The sequence below is a fragment of the Homo sapiens genome, chromosome 2 (genome assembly GCF_000001405.40).
Source record: "Homo sapiens chromosome 2, GRCh38.p14 Primary Assembly".
NCBI classification, from domain to species: domain Eukaryota; kingdom Metazoa; phylum Chordata; class Mammalia; order Primates; family Hominidae; genus Homo; species Homo sapiens.
In genome coordinates, this window is record NC_000002.12 from 208,812,348 (window position 1) to 208,826,242 (window position 13,895).

At 35.1% G+C, this 13,895-nt stretch overlaps 1 long non-coding RNA gene across 1 annotated transcript in view; it reads left to right on the plus strand.

The window, feature by feature from the left end:
* Positions 1 to 13,240, plus strand: part of LOC101927960 (uncharacterized) — a 282,946-nt gene extending 269,706 nt beyond the window's left edge. The window contains exons 4-6 of the long non-coding RNA NR_136588.1: positions 7,205 to 7,308; positions 11,848 to 12,003; positions 13,052 to 13,240. This is a non-coding gene — a long non-coding RNA (uncharacterized LOC101927960). The remainder of the gene's footprint in view (positions 1 to 7,204; positions 7,309 to 11,847; positions 12,004 to 13,051) is intronic.
* The last annotated feature ends 655 nt before the right edge of the window (positions 13,241 to 13,895 follow it).

The window sequence follows — 13,895 nt, forward strand, 5'->3', positions numbered from 1 at the left end:
CTGGGAGGCACCCCCCAGCAGGGGCACACTGACACCTCACACGGCAGGGTATTCCAACAGACCTGCAGCTTAGGGTCCTGTCTGTTAGCAGGAAAACTAACAAACAGAAAGGACATCCACACCAAAAACCCATCTGTACATCACCATCATCAAAGACCAAAAGTAGATAAAACCACAAAGATGGGGAAAAAACAGAACAGAAAAACTGGAAACTCTAAAACGCAGAGCGCCTCTCCTCCTCCAAAGGAACGCAGTTCCTCACCAGCAACAGAACAAAGATGGATAGAGAATGACTTTGACGAGCTGAGAAAAGAAGGCTTCAGACAATCAAATTACTCTGAGCTACAGGAGGACATTCAAACCAAAGGCAAAGAAGTTGAAAAACTTGAAAAAAATTTAGAAGAATGTATAACTAGAATAACCAATACAGAGAAGTGCTTAAAGGAGCTGATGGAGCTGAAAACCAAGGCTCGAGAACTACGTGAAGAATGCAGAAGCCTCAGGAGCCAATGCGATCAACTGGAAGAAAGGGTATCAGCGATGGAAGATGAAATGAATGAAATGAAGCGAGAAGGGAAGTTTAGAGAAAAAAGAATAAAAAGAAACGAGCAAAGCCTCCAAGAAATATGGGACTATGTGAAAAGACCAAATCTACATCTGATTGGTGTACCTGAAAGTGATGGGGAGAATGGAACCAAGTTGGAAAACACTCTTCAGGATATTATCCAGGAGAACTTCCCCAATCTAGCAAGGCAGGCCAACGTTCAGATTCAGGAAATACAGAGAATGCCACAAAGATACTCCTCGAGAAGAGCAACTCCAAGACACATAATTGTCAGATTCACCAAAGTTGAAATGAAGGAAAAAATGTTAAGGGCAGCCAGAGAGAAAGGTCGGGTTACCCTCAAAGGGAAGCCCATCAGACTAACAGCGGATCTCTCGGCAGAAACCCTACAAGCCAGAAGAGAGTGGGGGCCAATATTCAACATTCTTAAAGAAAAGAATTTTCAACCCAGAATTTCATATCCAGCCAAACTAAGCTTCATAAGTGAAGGAGAAATAAAACACTTTACAGACAAGCAAATGCTGAGAGATTTTGTCACCAGGCCTGCCCTAAAAGCGCTCCTGAAGGAAGCGCTAAACATGGAAAGGAAAAACTGGTACCAGCCGCTGCAAAATCATGCCAAAATGTAAAGACCATTGAGACTAGGAAGAAACTGCATCAACTAACGGCAAAATCACCAGCTAACATCATAATGACAGGATCAAATTCACACATAACAATATTAACTTTAAATGGATATGGAATAAATGCTCCAATTAAAAGACACAGACTGGCAAATTGGATAAAGAGTCAAGACCCATCAGTGTGCTGTATTCAGGAAACCCATCTCACGTTAGAGACACACATAGGCTCAAAATAAAAGGATGGAGGAAGATCTACCAAGCAAATGGAAAACAAAAAAAGACAGGGGTTGCAATCCTAGTCTCTGATGAAACACACTTTAAACCAACAAAGATCAAAAGAGACAAAGAAGGCCATTACATAATGGTAAAGGGATCAATTCAACAAGAGGAGCTAACTATCCTAAATATATATGCACCTAATACAGGAGCACCCAGATTCATAAAGCAAGTCCTGAGTGACCTACAAAGAGACTTAGACTCCCACACATTAATAATGGGAGATTTTAACACCCCACTGTCAACATTAGACAGATCAATGAGACAGAAAGTCAACGAGGATACCCAGGAATTGAACTCAGCTCTGCACCAAGCAGACCTAATAGACATCTACAGAACTCTCCACCCCAAATCAACAGAATATACATTTTTTTCAGCGCCACACCACACCTATTCCAAAATTGACCACATACTTGGAAGTAAAGCTCTCCTCAGCAAATGTAAAAGAACAGAGATTATAACAAACTATCTCTCAGACCACAGTGCAATCAAACTAGAACTCAGGATTAAGAATCACACTCAAAACCGCTCAACTACATGGAAACTGAACAACCTGCTCCTGAATGACTACTGGATACATAACGAAATGAAGGCAGAAATAAAGATGTTCTTTGAAACCAACGAGAACAAAGACACAACATACCAGAATCTCTGGGACGCATTCAAAGCAGTGTGTAGAGGGAAATTTATAGCACTAAATGCCCACAAGAGAAAGCAGGAAAGATCCAAAATTGACACCCTAACATCACAATTAAAAGAACTAGAAAAGCAAGAGCAAACACATTCAAAAGCTAGCAGAAGGTAAGAAATAACTAAAATCAGAGCAGAACTGAAGGAAATAGAGACACAAAAAACCCTTCAAAAAACTAATGAATCCAGGAGCTGGTTTTTTGAAAGGATCAACAAAATTCATAGACTGCTAGCAAGACTAATAAAGAAAAAAAGAGAGAAGAATCAAATAGACACAATAAAAAATGATAAAGGGGATATCACCACCGATCCCACAGAAATACAAACTACCATCAGAGAATACTACAAACACCTCTACGCAAATAAACTAGAAAAGCTAGAAGAAATGGATAAATTCCTCGACACATACACTCTCCCAAGACTAAACCAGGAAGAAGTTGAATTTCTGAATAGACCAATAACGGGAGCTGAAATTGTGGCAATAATCAATAGTTTACCAACCAAAAAGAGTCCAGGACCAGATGGATTCACAGCCGAATTCTACCAGAGGTACAAAGAGGAACTGGTACCATTCCTTCTGAAACTATTCCAATCAATAGAAAAAAAGGGAATCCTCCCTAACTCATTTTATGAGGCCAGCATCATTCTGATACCAAAGCCGGGCAGAGACACAACCAAAAAAGAGAATTTTAGACCAATATCCTTGATGAACATTGATGCAAAAATCCTCAATAAAATACTGGCAAAACGAATCCAGCAGCACATCAAAAAGCTTATCCACCATGATCAAGTGGGCTTCATCCCTGGGATGCAAGGCTGGTTCAATATACGCAAATCAATAAATGTAATCCAGCATATAAACAGAGCCAAAGACAGAAACCACATGATTATCTCAATAGATGCAGAAAAAGCCTTTGACAAAATTCAACAACCCTTCATGCTAAAAACTCTCAATAAATTAGGTATTGATGGGTCGTATTTCAAAATAATAAGAGTTATCTATGACAAACCCACAGCCAATATTATACTGAATGGGCAAAAACTGGAAGCATTCCCTTTGAAAACTGGCACAAGACAGGGATGCCCTCTCTCACCACTCCTATTCAACATAGTGTTGGAAGTTCTGGCCAGGGCAATTAGGCAGGAGAAGGAAATAAAGGGTATTCAATTAGGAAAAGAGGAAGTCAAATTGTCCGTGTTTGCAGATGACATGATTGTATATCTAGAAAACCCCACTGTCTCAGCCCAAAATCTCCTTAAGCTGATAAGCAACTTCAGCAAAGTCTCAGGATACAAAATCAATGTACAAAAATCACAAGCATTCTTATACACCAACAAAAGACAAACAGAGAGCCAAATCATGAGTGAACTCCCATTCACAATTGCTTCAAAGAGAATAAAATACCTAGGAATCCAACTTACAAGGGATGTGAAGGACCTCTTCAAGGAGAACTACAAACCACTGCTCAAGGAAATAAAAGAGGATACAAACAAATGGAAGAACATTCCATGCTCATGGGTAGGAAGAATCAATATCGTGAAAATGGCCATACTGCCCAAGGTAATTTACAGATTCAATGCCATCCCCATCAAGCTACCAATGACTTTCTTCACAGAACTGGAAAAAACTACTTTAAAGTTCATATGGAACCAAAAAAGAGCCCGCATCGCCAAGGCAATCCTAAGCCAAAAGAACAAAGCTGGAGGCATCATGCTACCTGACTTCAAACTATACTACAAGGCTACAGTCACCAAAACAGCATGGTACTGGTACCAAAACAGAGACATAGATCAATGGAACAGAACAGAGGCCTCAGAAATAACGCCACATATCTACAACTATCTGATCTTTGACAAACCTGACAAAAACAAGAAATGGGGAAAGGATTCCCTATTTAATAAATGGTGCTGGGAAAACTGGCTAGCCATATGTAGAAAGCTGAAACTGGATCCCTTCCTTACACCTTATACAAAAATCAATTCAAGATGGATTAAAGACTTAAACGTTAGACCTAAAACCATAAAAACCCTAGAAGAAAACCTAGGCATTACCATTCAGGACATAGGCATAGGGAAGGACTTCATGTCCAAAACACCAAAAGCAATGGCAACAAAAGCCAAAAGTGACAAATGGGATCTAATTAAACTAAAGAGCTTCTGCACAGCAAAAGAAACTACCATCAGAGTGAACAGGCAACCTACAAAATGGGAGAAAATTTTCACAACCTACTCATCTGACAAAGTGCTAATATGCAGAATCTACAATGAACTCAAACAAATTTACAGGAAAAAAACAAACAACCCCATCAAAAAGTGAGCGAAGGATATGAACAGACACTTCTCAAAAGAAGACATTTATGCAGCCAATAAACACATGAAAAAATGCTCATCATCACTGGCCATCAGAGAAATGCAAATCAAAACCACAATGAGATACCATCTCACACCAGTTAGAATGGCGATCATTAAAATGTCAGGAAACAACAGGTGCTGGAGAGGATGTGGAGAAATAGGAACACTTTGACACTGTTGGTGGGACTGTAAACTAGTTCAACCATTGTGGAAGTCAGTGTGGCGATTCCTCAGGGATCTAGAACTAGAAATACCATTTGACCCAGCCATCCCATTACTGGGTATATACCCAAAGGACTATAAATCATGCTGCTATAAAGACACATGCACACGTATGTTTATTGCGGCACTATTCACAATAGCAAAGACTTGGAACCAATCCAAATGTCCAACAATGATAGACTGGATTAAGAAAATGTGGCACATATACACCATGGAATACTATGCAGCCATAAAAAATGATGAGTTCATGTCCTTTGTAGGGACATGGATGAAATTGGAAATCATCATTCTCAGTAAACTATCGCAAGAACAAAAAACCAAACACCGCATATTCTCACTCATAGGTGGGAATTGAACGATGAGATCACATGGACACAGGAAGGGGACTATCACACTATGGGGACTGTGGCGGGGTCGGGGGAGGGGGGAGGGATAGCATTGAGAGATATACCTAATGCTAGATGACGAGTTAGTGGGTGCAGCACACCAGCATGGCACATGTATACATATGTAACTAACCTGCACAATGTGTACATGTACCCTAAAACTTAAAGTATAATAAAAAAAAAAGAAGAAGAAAAAAAGAAATAGACAAAGATGACAGGAGAAAACTGAACAAATAGGAGAGAAAATAAATTATATTTTATATAATCATAATATTTAAAAATTTTATATTTTATTTAACAATTATATTTTTTAAAACTTGAAGGAAGAATTTTTATGCCTGAAAAATGGAAAGGAAAATAAATTTTAGAGACAGATACAATGTATACTTCTAGATAGGAGAAGGTTTTTTCGAAATTGAAATTGATGGCACCAATGGAAACATTTGATTGTACGGTCAGATCAGAAAATGATTAAAATAAGGAAGTGTTAAAATTAAAAACATTATTTGGCTTACTGGAATTTTCATTGAATTAATAAATTTAATTAGATGGTTTTATGAAAATATGCCTAATTAAAAATTTAACTATAGCATCTACTTTTCCTATGTATTCTTCCCTCAACATGCTGTGTTCCCCACCATTTATTGACACTTTTACTCTAAAATGATACAATAGTATTTTTTTGCATAATTTCCACAGAACAGCTACAAAAAACACGTTAGTGTATTTAAAGGACTGAATAATCCATGGATGTGGTTATAAATAATCGTTCAGAATATATTGGTAGATAACAGATCAAGCTAAGTCTTATTCTTAATATTTTTTCATCTTTATTCTAGCTGGACACACTTTTGTATTTTTCAAGCTAATCAACATCTGTAAAGAGATACAAATGTCTCCTCAATTTCTGTTTTTGCAATATTGAAAAGAATATGATCAATGACTAATTTCAGGTCAACCACCTGGGAAACACTGCATTTATGGTTAAGAGTGGCTTGGAAACATCAGACCTCATGGCATGGTGCTGTATCTTCAGATCACTTAATACTCTGACTGTATTAAATAAATAATATTTATTTAATTTACCCCAGGTTTTCATGTGGGACATTTGTTTTCTGTTTAGCTATTTTACTGCTTTTTTTTTTTTTTTAACAGTGGTTTGAAGTGTTTTCTGCACATTTTGTCCCCTTCATTGTAGCTCTAGAAATTTATTTACACTAAGTATCAGATTTAGTTTTGGAGATAGATAAACTTAGGATTATATTTTTTCTACTCTATTTTCTGATGTTTGATTATTTCTTAAATCCCTTGATATACTTGTGAGTTAAAACCTGTATATTTAATAAGTAATTTAGAGCTGCTGGATAATTTACTGTCCCTCTTTGCTAGGAAGATAGAATGTAGGTGAACCCACTTAATCTAATAAAGGGCCTACTAGACTTCATCTTGAGTCACAGTTTTGAGAATAATTTGTTCATTTGTCATTTGTCCCCAACCTTCCCTGCTCCAAGGTGTAGTCTTCCAGGGGTTCCAGGTGCTAGAGAAGTCATAGTGGCTCCTCTCCCATCTTCCTGTGTTTCCTGAATTCTTGCTCTTGTCTCCCAGTTACTATGAGACTGCTTAAAACTTTATCCTGTGAAATTTTTGCTTGGCCTATCTTTAACCTGTTCCTTTTGCACAGCTTTAGAATTCGTCGTATTGTCACAGTCAAACTAGCAGAGAGAATGATTCTCTGATATCTGTTTCTCACTTATCACACTCCACACTCCTAGTCTTTCAAGTCTCCAGTTTTTTAAATTTTGGGCTCAAGACTCTTCCATAATTTCTACTGATTTTTTTTCTTAGTAGCACTATTTACCTGGGTTATTTGCCACATCCTCAGCCTCTTGACCTCAACCCAGAATCAGCAAATACTCAAAGGAAGTTAGCCAGTTCAGAATGTTGGCTTACCGCTCTGTGCTGTTCAGTCACCTGCATGGTTTTGCCATTTGAAATTCTGGTTATATCGGCTAATCTCCCCTGTCTTCAAACATAATTTTTTCTGTTTTTTAATTTTATTTTGTTTTGTTCTTCTTCTAATTGTCTTCCAGGGAAGATTTACCACAAGTTACTTTATCATAGCTTTGAGTGGCATTTTAATATCATATTTTAAAAGAAAGAAAACAATAGAAATGTATTAAAATATCTTCTCAAGGTAAGAATATATTATGGTATTTTATAAACACAAAAGTAGTCACATTAAAAACTGGTAAGTTCTTGGTAAATTAGATTATACATGTCTATCTCCAGTATTTTATAAAATGCATGGTTTCCTCAAAGCTGTAAAAGCATAAATGTATTTTTAAAAGGTATTATTGTCTCCATGAATTAGGTCTCCACAAGATTGCACTTCTTTTAATAAAGTTTCCATTGCTCCTGGGCATGCTTATGCAATAGATTAAATCCGTGTTATTTTTCTTGGTTAGTGTTGTGGGTTGATGGTTGCCTCTTCTCACAGCTGCTGCTAGCTATTCAGGAAGAAGCTTTGTAAAAGTGTCTGTGTGTTGGTGGAAGCTTAATTGTTCAGTGTTTCATTGGTTTCCAAGCTATTTATACCTTGACTATCCTCTATTTCAATGTCAAGTATCAATTACATAGTAACACTTTTAAAAAAAATAAGACAATGCACATTCTAAATGTGTGCTTTGGGACAAAGACACCAGTTACTAGCTCGCATTGCTTTTCCATCAATGTAATACATTCCTTTGACCATTTTGAATCAACTAGCCTCTGCTTTTTTCATTATCTGCTCTCAATATAAAGAATGCTGACTCTTTACAATTGTGCAAAGTTTTATGTCTGCAGAATGTACCCTCACCAATCAATATGAAATTAATATTTTCAGGTTAGTAGTAAGCTAGAGTTCCTTCCTTTTTGCACCTTTCCTGAGACAGTCTTAGCTGGAATAGATATGACTTTAATTAGTGTGAGCACTCTTAAGCCCTTTCAGTTAATGTAAATTAAGGCCCCTAGATGTCAGTATTCTGCTAGAAAGCATGCTATAAATAGTCACTAAATCACAGATGCTCAGCCAAAGAACTCTGTGAACAGTTAATCATCACCTTACATACTACAAGTTTCAAGTTGTTTGATGATTTACTGACAATGGACTTAGGCTTCTCATTCTATGAGAAAGTAAGTGATAATATTGATAGGATTATTCTTGGTCTCTAGCAGCTCTCCAGATGTTATTTTATCAAACACACACTCACTGGCTTGCAATAAGTGATGTTTCAATGTAAGGTACAAGGTTTCTTATCTCATACAGTGGGGATCATTTAGATTTTGAAACATACCTTTTTCATACTTCAGATAGCTTACTTTTATGACATTTTCTAAGATGCCATGTCTATAAATTGATATCAATTTACTTTACCACAGGTTACTTTATCATAGCTTTGAGTGGAATTTTGATATCATATTTTAAAAGAAATAAAACAATAGAAATGTATCAAAATACCTTCTCAAAGTAAGAGTATATTGTGGTACTTTATAAACACAAAAGTAGTCACATTAAACAACTGATAAGTTCTTGGTAAATTAGGTTATGTATGTCTACCTTCGGTATTTTATAAAATGCATGGTTTCCTATAAGTTGATATCAACTTACAGGCATGGCATCTTAGACAATGTCATAAAAGTAAGCTATCTGAAGTATCTCAGTTTAATGGTCCTAAAGCTGGGACATGCTACTAAGACATATTTTATCAGGCTCTTCTAATTATCCTATTTATGTGAATGATACTAATACTTTTAGACAAATTACTATGATGTCAATTGTCAGCACATTTACAAAGAAAGTAGACTAGGTCTTCTGTCCTCTTTTGTTTCCCAGGAGATCCCTCAGCAATTAAAATAGAAATGGATTATAGGTCAATGCTTAATTCCTTCTTCTCAAATGCCATGGACAAAATTATTTAATGTGAGCATTGTTTTTATACAAATAAATTTCTGTTTATAACCACAGCTTTTCACCAAGATTTTCTTAGACCCCACAAACTGTCTAATCAAATTACAATTATTCAGCCATCAAACTGTTTATCTGAGACAATATTTTTGTATGTTAAGTAATAACTAGAAAGTTATGTATACTATGAGAGATGTCTTAAAATATAAAATCAGTTGGAAATAGAATAATAAAAAATAGGTTGTGATGGATTATAAAATTATTGATGCTTTGCCGAGTTTAAAATGATAGATTCTACAAGTAATCATTGCAATCAGCAAAATAAGGCTATGAAATTAATAGGATTAGTCACATACAACCGTAACATAGGACACGCTATTTAAAGCACATTTATGAATATTCAGGTTTAACTCTATACAGTGTCAGAAGCTGTAATTATAAACTGGATATTCAAAATAGATAAATGTCATCAATTCACAGGACAATGTTTGACGTCTCGAGTACCATCCTACACTAGCACTATGCCATTAAACTCTTCTGTCATTTCCTTTTATACTAGAATCCTTCCAAACCACAAGGAAAATCACCAGGCCAAAAGTGAGGTTTGAAGTCTGGACATGTACTGGTTTTCTCTAGCAATCGACTCTCAATTTTTGGTAAAATGAGGCTATTTAAAACCCTCCTCTTAATTACACATATTTATGTAACTCATCACTCTACCTCCCAAATCCATAGGAAGGCTTTCAGATTTTGAAATATCAGAATTATGATAATCCCATAGAACAAGGTGGGAAGTATTCCCCTTCTTTCTATTCTCTGTAAGAATTTGTGTAAGACTGTGTGAAATTATTTCTCCCTTAAGTATTTGAACAAATATATCTGTGATTGTGAAGCTCTCTGGGCCAGAAGATTTCCTTGTGGGAAGGTTTTAAAAGTATAGATTTAATTCCTCTAATAGATTAATAATATTCAGATTTTTGATGTGTTTTTATCAGTTTTGGTGTGTTGTTTTTTAAGATTATCTTTTTCATGTAAATAATTAAATGTATTAATATATAAGGTTTTCTTAATATCCTCTTATAGACTTTTTCATATCTGTTGGGTCTATAATGATGGTCACCCCAACCACAGCTTCATTTCTGATATTGGTAATTTGTGTTTTTCTCATTTTTTTGGTCTTGCTATCACTTATTAATTTTATTAATTTTCCCAAAGAACCAAATTTTGACTTAGTTCATTTCTCTATTGTACATTTGGACTTTTTCTAATGTATATGTGCTTTATATTTTATTGGTGTCTGCTCACTTTAAAAAACATTTTCTCCCTCCAATATATTCTTTGTGTTTAATTTACTGTTCTTTTCCTAGATTTTGAGATGGAAGCTTGAATCATTAACTTTTCCATTTTTTCTTCTTTTCTAACACATGCATTAAAAAGTAAAAATAACAACAACAAAACTCTTTAGAGTTTCACTGTTCAGCTGCATTTTACAAATATGTCTATGCCATATTTTTATTGCTGCTTAGTTTAAAATATATTAAAATTTCATTATGATTGATCTTTGATCATTAATTACACAAAAGTATGATGTTTAATTTTCAAATCTATTATTCCAAACATTTACTTCAGAATTATTAACTTATTTTTGTGACTTAGAAAGCTGTTTTCTAACTCTGTCATTGTTCTGAATGATCGTTGTGATATTTACCCAATTATAATATATGAATACAATCTATGACACTCATCACTAATAAATATCTCTGAAAGATGTAAAATAACTGAATGTTCCTAGAAACAAAACAAGACTCTTATGCCAGAATTGGCTGATTTAACTTATTGTGGATTTTCAGTTATGGTTAGATGGGTCTTCTTTTGGTATCGCTTTAGATTTTCTCAGTCAAGAAAAAACTAACATCAACAATAAAAATTAAATTTCTAATACGAAAAAGTAATTTTTAATAAAGGAGATTTTGTTAAGTTTCAGAAATAATTTTTCACTTTAATAAGCATATGACAGCCAGGCGCGGTGGCCCACGCCTGTAATCCCAGCACTTTGGGAGGCGGAGGCGGGCGGATCACGAGGTCAGGAGATCGAGACCATCCTAGCTAACACGGTGAAACCCTGTCTCCACTAAAACTACAAATAATTAGCCAGGCGTGGTGGCGGGCGCCTGTAGTCCCAGGTACTCAGAAGGCTGAGGCAGGAGAACGGCGTGAACCCGGGAGGCGGAGTTTGCAGTGAGCTGAGATCTCGCCACTGCACTCCAGCCTGGGCGACAGAGAGACTCCGTCTCAAAAAAAAAAAAAAAAAGCATATGACAATGATAAAAAGGCTCGGATTTGTCTCCCACTTATTACTCCATTCCCCAAATAATTACTGCATATCAAATTATAGTCTTCAGTGTATCCCTTTTGTTTTTAATTGCAAAATCTCTGTACACTCACAGAAATCAAAGTGACTCCTGTCATTTATTTCATTAATAATGCCATATTACATAAAAGAAAATCCTTGAAAGTGAAAGAAAGAGAGTTTAAAATGTATCTTCTTAAGTGATAGTGTGTGATTTCTGGTTAAGCCTCTGAAAGCTCTTTTACCTTTGGCATTCTCCATGACCTAGAGCTATGGGAATGGGCATTGTACCTGTTTCTCTCCTGAGTCTGCCGTGTTTTAGCTTTGTGATCTTACAACCATGTTTAAGTCTAAAAATAAGAGTTAGAAGTAGGACTGGCACATGTCACTATATTTAATTTAATGAACTCTAACAGGATTTTTGTTTCTAAACCCAGGACATTGAGATCTGCTGGTTGGAGATCTTAGTGCCCAAGGAAGAATGCTTGCAAAAGGAGATGGAACAGTGTTTCTGTTGCATTGGCCACTGAGAATATCTGGTTATTTTGAATTTGTCACAGTCTGCAGCTAAAAGGCGAACAGGAAAAGAAGAGGTGGGTTACCGTGTTGGATTAGTTGTTTAATCCTGAAAAATCAAGGGGAAATATAGCTGCCACAAAATGAGGTCAGAGAGAGATTCATGTAACATTCAAGGTATCCCCTTGAGCATCTTCTGTTACTGTTTTGGCCAATGATAAAAGTTAAAGAACATTGAGAAGTCGATATACAGAGCATAATACAACTAGAATTATGATAGTTACCCATATTTTTTCTTGTTATAATGTTTATATTAAAATTAATTTATATTCTTAGTATATGCTATCTAATAAAACTTTATACATTATTATTTGTTAAATTATTTTATATTTTTCTTTCCCCTGATGTTTTATGTAACATATAGCTAGTGTTGGTACTGCTTATCTTTATAACATAGCACATATATTTCACATTATCAATGTGTAATTATGACTGAATTAGAAAAGGAAGAGCAATCATCCAGAAATTGATGTACAAATTGTTGGGACTTTATTTCTTCCTCTTTGATAGACAGTAAGAAGTTTGCATTTGTATATGGGATGGTTGTGTAGTTGTTATTACTCTTTGGTAACTTTTAGTGTAGGAAAAGGTTGAGAACTATGCATCACTGTATTCCATCAGTTTTCTTTTAGTGTAGCGGCTAGAAAACTTAAAGCTACATTTCTGAAGCTCACCTTTAGTTGGGGTCCTTTGTATAGTTTACTTCCACCTAATTAAATGCAGTTGCAGAAAAGAAGTAAAAATAAAAGTGGAAGCCATGGTTCAAAAATTTATTTACCTATAACTTTTGCTACACCATTGAAAATGTCTGGTTCTTCTTTAGTGGCTTCCTGATATGAAAGCCTCTTCATCACAGAAGAGGAGGTAGCTCCTTGTGGCTTGATTGTATGGCAGAACGCTAATAAAGTATTTCTTGGTTAAGTTAGCCATAATGATTTCAGTTACCTAAAAATTCAATTTTGATCAATAGAATTATGACATATGTTAATACGTTGCTGAATACAGTTTTCTAACATATTAACTTTATCTAAAAATGTCTTTATTTTGCCTTTGTTTCTGATATAGAGAGCGGTAATTTGAATGATAGCAGATTTCACATCAGGAACCAATGAAGCTAGATAAGAATGCAACATCTTTGATGTCTAAAAGAAACAAAAAGCCAACCTTGAATTCTTTATTTAGTGAAGTTACCCTTCAGAAATGACGGCAAAATAAAGATGTTTTCCAATAAAAGACAACTATGAGAATTCTTCACCAGCAGTCCTATTGTATCAGAACAGCCAAAAGAAGTTTGTCAGCCTACAGGGAATTATATCAAAGGGAAGACTTGACCTTGAAAATGAATGAGGAATATAAGAAATTGATATTATCTGGGTAAAAAGAAAATAAATTTTTTATTCTATCATCTTTAAAAATGTATGACTATTTAAAACAAAAATTATAATATGGCCAGTGTGAATTTCAATGTATATAAATGCATATTGTAAGACTACTTTAACATAAAAAACATCAGTAAATGGAACAGAAATATAAGAAACTTATATAGATGCAAAGTATCTAAGTTTTACAAGAAGCAATGTAATATTAACTCTAAGTGAACTATGAAAGAATACATATATATGTAACTACAGCAACCAATATAGATAAAAGTGGAATAGGCAAAATAAAGTAGACTACTAAAAATGTTTAAATAATCCAAATAAAGGCCGAAAAGGGAGCGAAAAGAAGAAGAAAAAACAAATAATAAAATAGTAGACATAAATCCAACAATACCTTTTAGGTGATAGAAATTAATAGAATGGATAAAAAGCAAGACTCAGCTCTATGCTTTCTGCAAAAGAAAGTTTAGATATAAAGAAATAGGTTGAAAGTAAATGAATAGAAAAAGATATACAATAAAATAAGCAAA